The sequence below is a fragment of the Homo sapiens genome, chromosome 11, assembly GCF_000001405.40.
Source record: "Homo sapiens chromosome 11, GRCh38.p14 Primary Assembly".
In the NCBI taxonomy this organism is placed as follows: Eukaryota; Metazoa; Chordata; class Mammalia; order Primates; family Hominidae; genus Homo; species Homo sapiens.
In genome coordinates, this window is record NC_000011.10 from 20,653,672 (window position 1) to 20,669,550 (window position 15,879).

Genomic DNA, 15,879 nt, shown 5'->3' on the forward strand with positions numbered 1-15,879 from the left:
TTCCAACCTCAGGAAATTCTGTTATTCCCTTGAGGTAAATGAGGTAAGTGACTGGCCCCATGGGCTTCCAGAGATGGTTCACTTCTGCCGCACATAAGCCTCCCCACCAACTGACCCAGAAATCTCTTTCCCTCTGAATAGAACCTGGTTTAGCCTCTGCTACTTTTGTCTTAGGCTAAAATTCTCTAAACTAATTGAGTTGGCTATATAAATTTATTATGGTGGATTTGGGACACAAAGGTTGCAAACTGATGATTAAGGAGAGATTAAACTAACAGCTCTAAGTACCAGCTTCACTTTAAAAGGTAATAAACATATAATTGTTCCCTCTTAGTCAGAAATATGTTTTCTTTCCTTTTTCTAGAAAATGTTTCAGTCAAGTTATGTTTTCCATAAAAATTTCAGCTGAAGGATTAGAGACATTCCTATTATTTTTAGCTTGCCTGCAAGAACCCACACTGCTGAACCAAGTCAGAAGCGTGCATTTTGTCAACAGATAATTAAAATCTTTGCTCACTCTTGGCGATGTATCTTTGGGGTTGGATTTTTTTTTTCCTCCGGTCATTTATATCCTTCTGGGAAATATGCTAAACAAAATGCAATTATTTAGATGTAGCAATCCACTGTTGAGACTACAGAACAAAAGTAATCAAGCACATGTGTTTTGCAGACTGTGTTTGGCAGTGAAGAGAGAAGCTTGTGGATTCTCTTCATTTGGAGGGAAAAAATATATAATTAAAATCTGGGCCCTTTATCCTCTATTAATCTTGTGCAAGGCAAACACAGAGCAATTGCAATATTGCTTGCAGGGTGATGTAAATAATTTCAAGTGAACCAAACTAAGTGTCCTTTTTAATGTCTCTGGCCTAGTTAATTAATGAACGCTTATCTTCCTAACTGCCTCTCTTGGTAGAGGGCCTCTTGGCTCAAGCAAGGACTCTGGTCAAAGTGGTCATAAGCAGTTTGGGGATGAGTGGGTCGTCCCCAGGTGAGGAAGGTGCACTACTTCTGTGACCATGTCTGTCTTTGGCTTCTTTGCAGAGGCTGAAGTTGGTGTGCTCGCCACAGCCGGACTGGGGCCCATTCTTAGCTCAACACCGCGGGGAGCGTTACAAGAACATGATCGACCCCTTGGGAACCTCTTCCTTGGGACTCAAACTGCCAGTGAAGGATTTGGAACTGGGCACTCAGTGCTAGTCCAGTGGTGTGGGATGGTCCAGACTTGATCCTGTTTTTCCTCTCTGCCTCCTCCTAATGTTTTCCATAGCTCTCCTCCCATTTTTCTTCATCTTTCTTCCTACATCTTGGTTCACATCCACGCATGAGAGTGATTATGTAGAAAAGTAGGCATAGTGTCGCATGCTGCAGTAAAGAGCTACATAGACCACCTGAAGCGCTGTTTGCCTGTGCCCATGGTGACTGTTTCTGGTCAGGTTGGTCCCCTGACCACACGTTTTACCCTGCAGAGGAGGATCAGTTAGGTGAGCACTGGTAGGTATGCGTGGTTTTGTCAATAGAGAGGTATCCACTGTGTGATGGCATGGGGGGTGCCAGTAAGGCATGTATAGAGTGGCCGAATTACAAGACTTTATTTGGACTTGAACAGAACTGAGCAATGTGGTGATCTTGTTCAGACACACAAAGTTCAAGACAGGTTTTTTTTTTTTTCAGAGAGTTAGCAGTGGTCAGAAAATGTTTTGGATGTAAGACAAGACCATTCAATTTGGACACCACTGAGGTGGTTAAGTTTATATTTCCAGTCACCACTGGGGATCTGTTTCCTTCGTTTGGATCAGCAATCTCCAGTTACCACTAACTCAGATGCTACAGTCTACACATTGTGACTTTGATTGAACTGTCAGTTTTCTTCCCTCAACTGTCTTTTTTTGTTTTAAATAACCACATTTGTGAGTTCTTTTGGTCATTTCCTCCACCTCTGCCCAAGAAGCCATCATATAAGTTGTGCCTCATTTTGTACGTTCATAGTAGAGCTCCATGCTCATTTCTACATGATATTTAGCACCATGGTTCAATGTCACGATCCTGTGTTTCTTCTCTAAATGTCTTTCTATAAGCTGTAGACACCTTGTCTTTTGACCTCTGGGAAAACAAGACTTACCCTGGTTCTGTCTATATATTATATATATAGGACACATGCTCTTAAAAGACAGATAACTTCTTAATTTTTACTCTTTTTCATTCACAGTAAATGCCAACTGTGGTCATAGAGAAATCAAAGAAATGGAGAGTTTAATAGAAAGCAACCACAATATTCACTGCACTGGTAGTACATTTTAGGACATGGTATTTATAGAACTTTCTGATAAATACAGCTTAGGTAAGTAGCGAGTGAGCCAATTAAGACTATAGCTTTTAAGACTACATTTAGCCAATTCAATTTTAAGAGTTCCCTATTCACAGTACTCATTTTAACGGCACTCTAATGAGAGCTGATCATATGTCTGCAGAAATTGGCAAAGTGTAAACTTTATTATCTTCTTGTATCCTGAACATGCATATATGAAATTTTTAAAATGTGACATGTGTTCATGTAGTGTGTACTTGTAGTGGTGTTTTCTGTCCTTATAAATATCTTTTGAATTCTGTAGAGATGGTGAGTTTAGTATAGTGTAGTCTGGGGATTTTATTTTCCCTTACAGTAATAATATCTAAACCTAAAATTGTTTCCTTTAGGGGAGATCATTTCAATCATTTTCTTCATTTATCTTCATAGTACAGGGTCTCAGGCAAAGTTTTTCAGTTCAAATCTTGTATATTGTTGTGACATTTTCATCCTGTTTAACAGCAATGAAACCCAACAACAGGCTTTAATGTACATTTTTTTTTAAAAGATTTCATTTGTTAAAAAAAGTCTCAACTCATTTTACTGAGCTCTCCCTTTTCTAGGGCAAGTATCATCGCCATTTGCCAACATCAATATGAACTTCCAGTTTTTAAGAGTAGCTTGTGAAAGGTTTTAGAAAAGGAAACAAAGATGGGTTTTGAACTTTAGATTTTCATGTCTTTTGTCTGCAGTGTATATTTGTTCTCCCCTCTCCTTCTCCTCCTTTCCCCCCTTGTCTCCCAAAGCTCAAACTTGCTTGAGTCTATCATAGAGACTAAACCTTGAGCTTCCCCTAAACTTAGCTTTAGGAAGCTGAGCTGTGGCCTCACCTGTCTGCCATGAACACAGATTTCTCTAAGAAAGCCATATTGATGAGAAGCCCCCAATTACTGCAGCAGACGTCGCACAATGGTACCAAAAATGAGCCTCTCCAGCTGATACCTGGTAGAGTGAGAGGAGCCAGGAGGAATAACTTAGGCCTGGAAATTATCTGCAGGCTTTGCAATTTGAAGGTTGAGAAAGAGAGCTTAAATCAATTAGCATTCTCTCATGGGACTGGTATGTTTGTGTCAGGATGAATGGTTTTTGGCTCTCCTGTTGCCTCTTGGCTAAAACTCTGATTGAGCCAATGGTTGCAGTCTGATGCTGGACGCCAACCCAATTTCTGCTAATTATTGCTTTTGTGATTAAAAGAAGGTGGGGGTGGGGGGCTCCCACAGATGCTGCCAGGTTTGTTTTGTACAAACTGAAAGTTAACTTAATTGTGAGAACGGAGACCTCATCACTAGCTGCATGTTTTGGATTTGGGGGCATTTACATTTGTGTTAATTATGATTTGTCCAGGTAAGATGCAGTAGCTGCTCCCTGAGCAGCTGTTTCCCCCCCACCCCACTTCACTATAATTTCCAAGATTTATTTCCCTTTGTTTAAAGGGACACGCTTAGGTGAAAGGTTCCAAATTTACCTGGAAATGGTTACCTTGTAAATTTAGCTTGTCTAATGGATTGTTTCCATGATATTAAAATGTACAGTCAATTGGAAGAAAAAAAATGAAAAAAATAAAATGAATAACATTGTTAGAAACTGGCACCTGAAAACTTCCCTTCAAAGTGGGGGAAAAAACCGAGTAGCTGAGGAAAGACTTTCATTGGTTCACTGTGTAGAATGGTGGAGCATTTTCCACTTGTGAGATTATTTCATAACACCAACAAATGCCAGAAACTCATTCAGAAAAAAAGCCATATGTGAAAAACAGTAATCCTGTCATATCCTTAGAGGAGAAAAAATGTATATTTCTTAACAAGTGGTGTTGTGACTTCTTATGCAAATGTCTTGCATATTAGTAACTTTTATTATCTTTAGGACTGTGCTTATCAGGTACAAATGTGTCTAGTTCTGTTTTATTGTTTCTTTTTCCTTTATATTTATGTATTGCATGAGGTCTGTGGTCAATGCAAAATCATGATGACCTCAATGTCTTTGAAATTTGCAATGTGTTTTTAATATGTAAGAAATGTAATCAACTTGTATTTCAGTAAGCAGCACTTTAAAAAGAGTTTAACATGATGACCTTTAAATGGATAGGACTTGGGTTGTTTTTATGGTAATGTTGCATTGGAGTTGAGTTTTCCTTTAATTAAGTTCTTGTTTCCTCATCTATGTGTCTCTCAGTGCTTCCTGTCCACCTTTGCTCTCAGCATGGTTTCCCATGCCTAAAAGTAAGATTTTCTTTTCTCTTTGTTCCCTTGGCTGTAGGTCATTGTCCTCTTCCCAGAGGCTAGCACAATAACTGTTGCTCAATGTAAGATGAGATGGCAAGATCATACTACTGTTGTTGCACCTGGATTTGAGTTGGGACATGCTTCTTTGAGGCAGATGATTCAAGAGAGGACGTGCTGTGTGGCAGGTGTTTTGCAGGACCAAAAGGCCAAGGCCAACAGAGGAGCATTTCCTTCTCTTTCACACTGGGTATCAAGCAGAAAACTTCCAGGCTGGGAGCAAAGGTGTGGGTGATTCTGCCTTGATACTCATTTCCCCACAAAGTGGCCCTAGGATTTGTGAAAGTGAAGCTTCCTATCTTTCCCAGATTTTGCTTTAATTGCCCAGAAAGGCCAAGTAGTTTTGAAATGTGGTCTTTGCTCAGGTCACCTCTGAGCAGCCTGCAGCCAAAGAGAAAGTGTTTTCAGATTAGGTATTCATCACCTCTGAAAAGCAAGCAGTGGTTTGACTTGCCTGCCACGGATTAAATACATCTTCAGGTAACCATTTGCCTTACAGGTGTATTTTACTGTTAGGATGATTCTTAGTAATTGACTAAAAACTGTTTTGTCTCTCATTTGTTTGTGGTTTTTGCACTTTATTATGGACCTGTAAAGGAATAGGTTAATTCTTACATTGTGTACTTGGCTAATGTCCTAAATGCAGGCATCTTTTGTGGGTACTGTTGCCCATGAATAAACATATGTTCCCTAATCAGGTCCTTATATTTTTCCATTAACTATACATGAAGAAAATATATTATGTTACAAATGATGCATCATATATATATATATATATATATATATATCTTATAGATTACATATTATATACTGCACATTATTCATTTAAGAAGTCATTCTTGAGGCCCTACCTCAAATTTTCTATTTATGTATAAAAATGCAATTTATTGTATTATATATTTGCCTATTATGTACTGATATAAATTAGAATTTACCCTAATAATGTATGAGTTCACAAAACCCTAAATAAATGTCAGTGTTTAAAACATGATTATAGTATTGTGTCTCTTACAAAGCCATTACCCATCATCTTTATTTCTTAATAAACAGCCTTATAGGTATCCCCCAGATTGATCAATTTTGTTGTGCAAAACCTGGAACAGCCATGGAAAACTGCCGTCCTGGGAAAACGAGATACTGTGCTGCTGCAGAAACAAATATCAATTATTATATTTTTAACCATCAGAATACACTATTGTTTGCTGAATTATTAATCACCCTCATGGGGGAAGAGAGAGAGATTGGAGTAGGAGAAGAAAGAAAAAGAGAAACAGAATCTGAGTAGATCTGAGATCTGAACAGAAAGACTGGACAAATTAAAACATCGTGTGTGTTTTCATGATCATTTTGTCAGTCTTCAACTATATTTCAATTTAGCAAACATTTTGTGTAGTTCCTGCATTGTGCTAGGCCCCAGGCAAAATGGAATAAAAAGGTCTCAAATCTTAGGGAACTCAAATTATAGTAGAAGGAAAACCTATTTCTAAAAAACAAAGAAACACCATTTCTCTCCTTTTGAGTGGGTGGAGCCCTCATGTTCCTTACTCAGAGATGGGGCCCCAGGGTTCAGTGTCATGTTCTCTGCTGTCTGATCAGGTCAACCCAGAGGCTTGACTCTGTCCTCCTCAAATGAGCACCACATACTCATGCTCTGCCTCCATCTTCAGCTTCAGTGTTGGAAGGCTACAGAGATGATCTAGGCTATCCTCCCTGGGAAAGAAATGCCCTCACAAGCTGATGCTGAAATCCACACGCCAAGTGCACAGGTGTCCAGCCTGCAGTCAAGCTCCAGGCTGGGAAAAGTCTATGATAATAAGAGCTCCATACAATACATTCAGGACTGGCCTTAAAACTGTACTTTGGCAGGTGCACAGCGCCGTGAACACTAAACTCAGTGTAATGTCTTATCTTCCCAGCAACAGTGCTCCTGAAAGGGCAAGAAGTGCATTCTGTGGGATCAGAGCTTGGTGCTGACTCATTATCTTCTATCTCTTTCCTGAGACTCCTTTGATCATTGTGTGTGTGTGTGTGTGTGTGTGTGTGTGTGTGTGTTTAACTTTTTATCTTGAAAAATTTCAGGTATACATAAAGTTGGAGAGAACAGAACAATGAACTCCTATGTCCACATCACACACTTTCAACAATTACCAACTCATGTCCAAGTTTATTTCATGATCCGTCTCCCTACCCTGAAACTCTGTTTCCTTAGAGTAGTTCAAAGCAGATCCCAGGTACCATGGAATTTCAGTTAGAAATGCTCTATTATGTTTTTATAACCCTTCTAAATATGTTTTTCCTTAATTGGGGATAAGGAGAAATAGCAGAAACTTAAGAGTTAATTTTTTGTTTTTAGAAGAAGAGTCACCAGTCTGGTACTCCAGTCTCACTGGTGACTCTTCTCCCAGGATTTGTCATGTGATTTGCTGGATCATGGCGAAGTCTGGGAGTCCAGGGGGGATGCTGGGGTATGTGGGGTCTTGGATGTGGGCTCAGGGGCTTCAGGATAGCCCAGGTATTTTTATTCCATAACTTGATTCCTCTTGCCTCCTCCTTTCAATCAGGAAACAGAGGCAGAGGCATTCTGCAATTATGTGGTATATTCACTTGCATGATTTGCCTCCAGGCTTCCGGCCATCTCCATCATGTGGCACTCACTGCCCGGTGTTCAGGAAAGATGCACAGAGAGAAGTTTGGGTCTTACCTGCTAAGGTTGCATGAATTTGATCTTTCCGGGATTAGGGCTTTGAGATAAAACATATTTAAAAAAAATCACTCTGTCTCACCTACTCAAAAGTGGAAAGCACTGGTAAGCACAGGCCCATGACAATCTCACTGTGAACCTTTTTTTTTTTTTGGCCTTCTTGTGAGTGTTTACTTCTATACACAGCCTTGAGGTGAGGGCAAGAATGACAGAGAACTTACACTAGGCCAGTACTGATATTTTATAAAGTTGGTACAATGTGAGGGAGTATAGGGGAGAAACTGGTAACTGCCTTTGAATTTCTATTCTTCCCTTTTTTAGTAACATCTCTGACTTTAGCCAGGCTTGTTGCCACCCAGTCAAAGCATGACGTTTCCAGGTTCCCTTGCTGCAAAGTACGGTAGATTGACCTGGCTTCACTTCTTTATGCCCCGCCCCCGCCCCCCGTGAACCACACCCTTGCTGTGTCCTCATCGTGGGTGGATTGTACTTCTTGCCCTTGACTTGGGGCTTGGTAATGCATCTATGCTTTGGCTAATAGCTTGTGAACAGACGTGGCAGTGTGCCAGTTTTGAGTCTAGACCTTAAGAGGTCTCACCTATTTCTATATGCTCTTTGGTGTCTCTTTGGGCCATGAGGAACAGATGTGGCTAGCCCTGTTGAAAGATGTGGCTTCCTTTCATCAACCCAAGGAAGATGAAAGGCACATGGGACAGTCACTCAACTGAAACACAGACCTGCAGTGAGAAATGGAATCAGCTCAGCCACTGTAACCCGAAGCAGAACTGCCTGTCTGAGACCAGCATGGAGGAACTGAACCCTAGCCAACCTGCAGATATGTGTTGTATGACATGGAAATTTTGTGGTTGCTATGTAGCAATAGCTAACAGATACGTATGGAGTGGCCCTGTGACTAGGTTCTGCCCAAATATATATGGAAATAATACATGGGACTCCTAGGCACGCTCTTCTTCTCTTCATTCTCTTCCATATTTTGCTGTCTGGAATGTGGCTGTAATGGCTGGAGCATCAGCAGCTATATTGAACCATGAGGACAAGAACTACATTCTAGGGATGGTGGACTCTCCAACTCTAGAATTCTTTTACTGAAGAGAGTATTAAAGACCTAAGTTATTTAAGTTACTATCGTTTGGGAGTTTTCCTGTTATATGAAGCCAGATAGAATCTTTACTGATATAGGAAATAAAATAAACACTCTTGGCCTTTTATCCCACTCCCTCTTCTCCCATCCCTTGTGGAGGAAGGTGCCAGCCATTGGTCCTCGTTTCTCAGTGGGGTCTCCTTAGCTTTCTCTTTTCATCCAGATCAGTGGGAGCAGATGGCTGTGGCAAGGTCCAGCCTGCAGGGAAGGCAGATGACCAGTCTATTTTGGCTTTCACATAGGCTACGCTCTTCCAGCATTGTCTCTACATTAATAAAAGTGATGTTTTAGCCTCCTGCTAGCTGTTATCTTATTTCTCAATTGGTTCAGAACTCAGGCAGGGAATTGGGCTGTTATGAAACTGACTTCACAGGCTTCATCCCAGGAGAAACAGTAAAGTTCATATGGCCTGGGTTTGAGTCTCACTTAGCCACTTACTTGGTCAATGGCTCACTTTCCACATTTGTAAGATAGGTATAATAATGCTACCTACCTAACTGGGTTGTTTTGAAGAATAAATGGGTTAATCCTTGGACAGTACTTACAGCAGTGACCACTCATAGTTACACTTAAGAAATGTAGCCAATACCATTCTGGCCAGGGCGGGGGTGGAGACTGTTTCTAGGGCCTCTTTGAAGATAGTGTGCCAAATTTTTAATGGTCTACTGGAATGGACATGTGATTACTCAACATTTAATAAAGCCTAGATATGAGCACACCTTGGTTCTTGTCATCAGAAACTTGAAACTTTTCCAAGATTATTGATGTTATGGATTAGAATGGTTTCATCCAAAGAATCATGAGATGCCTTTATCTATATGTCTATATACTTTTCTACCTATTTTCCTACAGATCTATACCCAGCTTTGCTCTAAAACATGTTTGAAGATATGAGACGAGGACACTAGTTAATTTAGCAAAATATGGATCCCTCTAATTTGGATATCATTGAAGTGGACTGTGGTAATAAGAGAACGAAGTTTTCATATAGAGTTTATACATCCATATAGAAACAGAGGTTCACACATAAATACATTCATTCAGCCTCTTTTTATAAGTGCATGTGCATTTCAGGAAATGAAAATATCCACCCAAGTCAGGCTTGCACAGTTGCAGAGAGTATTGAGGCTGTTAGGTTTGTGAGGGAAACTTGGGTGCTTTTGCACTTTCCTTGACTCTGGCAGCAAATTGGCACTTGTGTTAGTTTCCTACTGCTGCCACAACAAAGCTCTACAAACTGAAAGATGTAAGACAACAGAAATTTAATCTCTCACAGTTCTGGAGATTAGAAATCTGAAATCAAGGGTTGGCAGGACAAGTCTTCAGGGGATAATCCTTCCTCGCCTCTTCCAGCCTCTGGAAGACATCCCTTGGCTTGTAGCTTGTCTTCATTTTCTCTTTTTTTTTTTTGAGATGGAGTCTCACTCTGTTGCCCAGGCTGGAGTGCAGTGGCAGAATCTTGGCTCACTGTAACCTCCACCTCCCGGGTTCAAGCAATTCTCCTACCTCAGCCTTCCAAGTAGCTGGGACTACAGGCGCATGCTGCCATGGCTGGCTAATTTTTTGTATTTTAGTAGTGATGGGGTTTCACCATGTTGCCCAGGTTGGTTGTGAACTCCTGAGCTCAGGCAATCTGCCCGCCTCAGCCTCCCAAAGTGCTGGCATTACATGCGTGAGCCACAGTGCCTGGACTTCTGTTGCTTTTAACAGAATACCTGAAACTGCATAATTTTTAAAGAAAAAATATCTATTTCTTACAGTTGTGGAGATGGAAAGGTCCCAGGTCGAGGGTCTGCATCTGGTGAGAACCTTCTTGCTAGTGGGGACTCTAGAATAGAGTGGCACAGGATGTCATGGTGAGGGTGCTGAGCATGCTAACATGTTCACTCAGGTCCTTCTTCTTCTTCTTGTAAAGCCACCAGTTCCCCTCCCATGATAATCCATTAATCCATTAACCCATTAACCCATTAATTTCTGCCCTCATGATCTGATCACCTCTTAGAGGCTCTTTCAATACTGCCACACGGGAGTTAAACTTCAACATAATTTTTGCAGGGGACAAATAGTCAAACCATAGCACAGCTACTACAACACTATAATCTCTGCATCCATGGTCACATGGCATTCTCCCTGTGTCTCTGTCTTCCCATGGTATTTTTCTCTTATAAGGATATCAGTCACACCGCATTAGGGCCTATACTAACGACCTCATCTTAAGTTATTACATCTGCAAAAACCCAATTTCCAAATAAGCTCACATTCACAGGTACCAGGGGTTAGGACTTCAACTTATTCTTTAGAGCAGAGGGAAGGTATAGAATCCAATCTGTCACAGTGCTACTTTCTCATTTCCTCCTGTTTTATAAACTTATTGTGTTTATAATAAGTTGTATAAACTTATTATAAAATAAACTTATTATGTTTATAATAAGTTGTATAAACTTATTATGTGTCCACAATGTGAAGGTAGTTGTGAAGATAGTTGAAAGGCTGTTTGGACAAAGAAGAGTGGCTTCGGGAGGGGAATTCATTAGGCAGTAAATACAATAGAGGGTTTCTCATGCTTGGAACTGCTTTTAGCTTGCACGTTTAGTTTGGATACTAAAAAGGAGTCCTTCTTACTCTTCCTCTATGGGGTCTGCTGCCCCACATAGAGTCAGCAGTGGAGCAACTCTGGGGGACAGAGAGACAAGGCCTTCTGACTGTTGCCATGCTGACAGCCAATGAGAAGAGTTCATTCTCCATGCTGCTTCCTGGCAGAACATGCATTGATTCATTCATTCAACAACATTTAATGAGCTCCTAAAATGTGCTAGGCACTGTTCTAGGTGGAAATATACGTTGGTGAACAAGAAAGACAAAATTCCTATTCTTGTGGAGCTTGCATTATATTGTGTGTGTGGGGGGGACAGAACGAATAAGTAAACATATAAATCATATTATTTTAGACAATAACAAGCACTCTAAAAAATAAAGCAGGGTAAGGAGGCAGAGAATGTTGGGAGTAAAGTGAGAAGCTTCTTTAGGCAAGGTCTCCTCAAAGAGCTGACATTGAGACGAGATTTGAGTCAGTGAAAAGTGAACCTTCCAGGTAGAGGGGACAGCAAGTGCAAAGATCATGAGGATGGTATGAACTTGGAATGTTTAAGGAACAAGAAACACTGGAGTGAGTTAGGGGGAGAATGGGGAGAGAGGGACCTGGGAGGAGAAGCAGGGGTGATATAAGATGTTTGGATTTTACTAAAATATGATGGAAAACTCCAGGAGGAGTTTTGAGCAAGGGAGTGTGATATGATACATGTTACAAAACACAGACTATGACTGCTGAAGGTGGAGGTGACTGAATTATACGGGGCAAGAATGGAGGCAGAGAGAAGCATTGAGAGTCTATAGCTGTAGGCTATGGGAGAGATAATGATGGGTTGGAGGAAGGTGGGAGGAGACCTGGTGAGAAGAGAAATTTGACTGGGGATTTTTCTTTAAGGTATACTGACAGGGCTTGATGCCTTGTGTGTGGGGGCTAAGGGCAAGCAAGTCAAGGATGACCCTGGGTTATGTAGCTGGAGCACTTGGTGAAGGCTCATGCCATGTCCGTAGAAGTCAGCAGTGGAAATTTAAGACAAGGGAAAAGTCAAAAGTCCTTAGTTGGCCATATTACAATTTTTTGTCATGATCATTAAAGTATTTTAAAAAACAGCTTGAGATATAATTCACATACCATACAATCCACCCATTTAAAGTATACAATTCAATGGTTTTTACTATATTGTGAATATATGTGAGAGTTTTACATCCATCACCACAATCAAATTTAGAGCCTTTTCATTACCTCAAAAATAGCCCCTACACTTTTGAGCCATTACCCCCTAATCCTACCTCCCTGGCCCCAAGCCCTAGACAACCACTAATCAGATGTTTTGTCTCTATATATTTGCCTCCTGACTTTTCATAGAAATGAAATTGTATAATATATGGTCCCTTGTGACAGGCTTTTTTTCACTTAGTGTGAGGTTTTCAAGGTCAATGTTGTAGTATGTGTCAATGCTTCATGTCTTTTTATTGCTGAATAATATTCCATTATATAGGCATACCACATTTTATTTATCCACTTATTTGTCAATGGACATTTAGGTTGTTCCTACTTTTTGGCTATTTTGAATAATGCTCTAAACATTTATGTACAAGTTAGTATATGGACATATGTTTTCATTTACCTTGTGTGGATATTAGGGATAGAGTTGCTGTACAGCAACTCTATGTTTAACTGTTTAAAGAACACTTTACATTCTAACTAGCAGTATATGAGTTCCAATTTCTCCACATCCTCACCAACATTTATTATCTATTTTATTCTAGCCGTCCTAGTGGATGTGAAGTGATATCTCACTGTAGTTTTGACTTGCATTTCCCAGATGGCTAATGATGTCGAACATCTTCTCATGTCTTTATTGGCCGCTTGTATATATACTTTGGAGTAATATCTATTCAGATCTTTTGCCTATTTGCAAATTGGACCTTTTATTGTCTTGTATTATCTAGTTGTAATAGTTTTTTAGTAGATACAAGTTCCAATCAGATATGTCTTGCAAAGATACTTTTCCATCGGTTGTTTTTTTTACTTCATTGATGGTGTACTTTGAAGTGCAAATGTTTTTAATTTTGATGATGTGGCCATATTATATTCAAGATGTCTAATAGGTAGTTAGAGATGTAGGCCTGGGGTTCAAAATAGAGGCTGGGGATAGAGATGCATATTTGAGAGTCATCCCTGCACAGATATTTAAATCCATGAGGTGGGATGAGCTTAATAGGGAGGGAGTGTGGCGGGAAGGGAAGGGTTGAGGAGTGAGTCCTGGGGCTCTCCAACATTTAGAGGTCAGGAAGAAGAGGCAGAGGGATAATCAAAGACAACTACTGGCTCCTGAAGAACCCATGGAGGTAGGCCATCCTGAAGGGGAGGGTGGACTTGGGATCTGGCATCAGGTAAGATGTTTCAGTGTGGCTTCCACCGAACACAGGTCTCACTGTAACATTCCACCACCAAGTACATACATAGCCATGTGTCCCTTCATTGTCACTAGAGAAACTTGCTGGGCCCATTCTATGAAGGTCACCTTAGCTTAACAGACCTACACACTCAAAATCCCCACTCAAGGGTTGCACTTATAGGAGGAGATTGCAGTACTTAGTTATCTAGAAAAGATTTATGACCTTGTTGAGATTAACTCTTGTTACTGTTAATGGATGTTATGCTGCAAAGCTATGACAGAACATATGTCTTGCTTTATTTTTTAATGGAACAAGCTAAAAGTCCCATCCCACAGGACCAGCTAATTACACAGAGACTTTAAAGATAGAGAGCTCTGAAGATCTTACCCAGACCACCTTTTCCCCTTGCTGGGGTCACTGTACTTTTAAGGATTCTGGGCTTTCTGAAATCAATAAAAGGGCCTTGGAAACAACAGTCCAAAGCAACTCAAGGCTGTTCCTGCTGAGGTGTACTTAAAGACTGCAGAGGAGAGACAGGAAATGGCTCTTATAATACAACATGGTGTATGGTGTCCTTGTCCACAAGGCCCAACAAGACTTGGGAAATCCTATTCTCTTCAAGATGTGTGATTTTAATGTTAGCTTTAAATGCAACACGCTCCGGGTGGAAGGAAAAACACGTGGACTCTGTTAGTGAAAATACAGAGTCAAGGCAGACAGATTTCCTTTGGGTCTTAGCCGAATCTGAGTTGGAGTCAGCTGACATCAGTTTACCTCTTAATCATTCAGCTCAACTTCTGGATTGTGCAGTAGACTTCTTGAGCTGGAATTTACCTGCTTGTTCACTTTCTTTTTCATCTGCCAAAGGACCACAACATAAAGGGCCAAATGGGACAGTGGCTTGCACACAGAAATATCCAGAAAAATAGGGCAGAGACCAGAACAGCATGCTAGTAAAGCCTTCTCTCTTAATAAGCTGCGCTGATTTGGTGAACTTCACTGGGGCTCCTGGGGTCAAAGTTGTGTAGGGGTTAAGGATATAGGAAGTGAAAGTGGGTGCAAGTGAGAAGGGCACGTTCTTATTAGTGAAGAGGATTCTGAAACGTTGGAATTGGTTTCCAGGAAACGAGGGACGGCTGTTCTGAGGTTTCCTTGGACTCCTCTGGGATCCCTGTTGTGAATATCAAAGGAGTACTGCTGGTGAGGGGGAGCGGGGGCTTCAGAGAGAGTGGGAAGACTGAGCAAGCTAAGTGGAGTTCATTTGGTATAAATCAGAGGCTGTCATTTCAGATTTCATGACTCTACATATCCAGTTATAAATAACGTTCCTAGGTGTTAGTAGGACAAATAGGAAGTGGGACAGAAGTCTTAAATTTGGGGGATCTTCATAGGGAAGGTCAGGTCCTGAAAGGGTCGCATAGAGGGGAGAGGACCCATTCTCTTCTTGCCGGCAAGTAGAAAACAAAGCCCAGCCCAGCTTTTCTCTCCAGAGAATGTTGTGGTGGGAGAGGGAAAAGAAGGTGGAGGTCCCGGAGGAATTGCACATGGGGCCAAAATGTGACTATGAAAGAAGAGTGGGCTTTTGATAATACCATTAAGAAAATCACGCAAGAAAGAAAAAAAGATGGTTAGGAATTACCCCTATGTGGCAGCATCTGCCCTGCAGAATGAGAAGGTTTGCAAATAGACTTCCCAAACCCCAACCACAGCTCGCTCCGCCTCGAGGACCCCTTTTCTGCACCCCCACCTCAGCGCCCTCTTCCTGCACCCACAAAGAGAGTACTCAGTCATAGGGGTTCAACAGGAGAGAGGAGACAGAAGGTACAGGCGGTGAGCAGGGACTCAGCCATCATCCCCCTCAGGTCCCTCCCCACCCAGTTGACAGAGCGAATCCCGAGTAATTGTTTTCCGAGGGGGTCCGTGCGCGCTCGGTGGCGCCGCCTCGGTCTGGGTTCCCCCGAGGAAAAATACCCACCCGCGAGGGCTCGGCGGCTTTTCGACTCGGCGGGGATGAACTGTGGCAACTTCGGCAGCCCCCACCGCGGTGCGGAAGTAAAGAGGGCAACATTGGCGACTGCGGCTCGGAGGGGCTGGAGCGCGTGAAGCCGTGGGGGCGCCGTGCGCCTCCCGCTCTCTCGTTTCGGCCGCAGGTCCTGGGACTCCGACTTCGGTGCTCCGGGTGATAGCGGCTGCGGCGCCTGCAGTCCAGATCCTCGCAGTTCTGCGGGCGAAGGAGGCGAACGGAATCGGCCCCCAGTGGGGAGCGCAACAAGCCACAGTAGCCAAACCCCGCGCTCCTGCCCGGGCTCCCAGACGAACGCAGCCGCAGCGGGGGGCCGGGCCCCGAGCCCCACGCCGCCGCCGCCGCGCCAGCGGTGGGGGGCGGGCTGGGGGCGGGGCGGCC

At 42.1% G+C, this 15,879-nt stretch overlaps 1 protein-coding gene across 4 annotated transcripts in view; it reads left to right on the forward strand.

The window, feature by feature from the left end:
* Positions 1-5,614, forward strand: part of SLC6A5 (solute carrier family 6 member 5) — a 59,678-nt gene extending 54,064 nt beyond the window's left edge. For 3 of the 4 annotated variants that reach the window (NM_004211.5, NM_001318369.2, XM_017018544.3), the window contains one exon: positions 1,042-5,614. In NM_004211.5, coding sequence (NP_004202.4) covers positions 1,042-1,197 — 156 coding nt within the window. In that variant the 3' untranslated portion in view covers positions 1,198-5,614. The remainder of the gene's footprint in view (positions 1-1,041) is intronic. The other variant, XR_007062528.1, reaches the window with a different exon arrangement.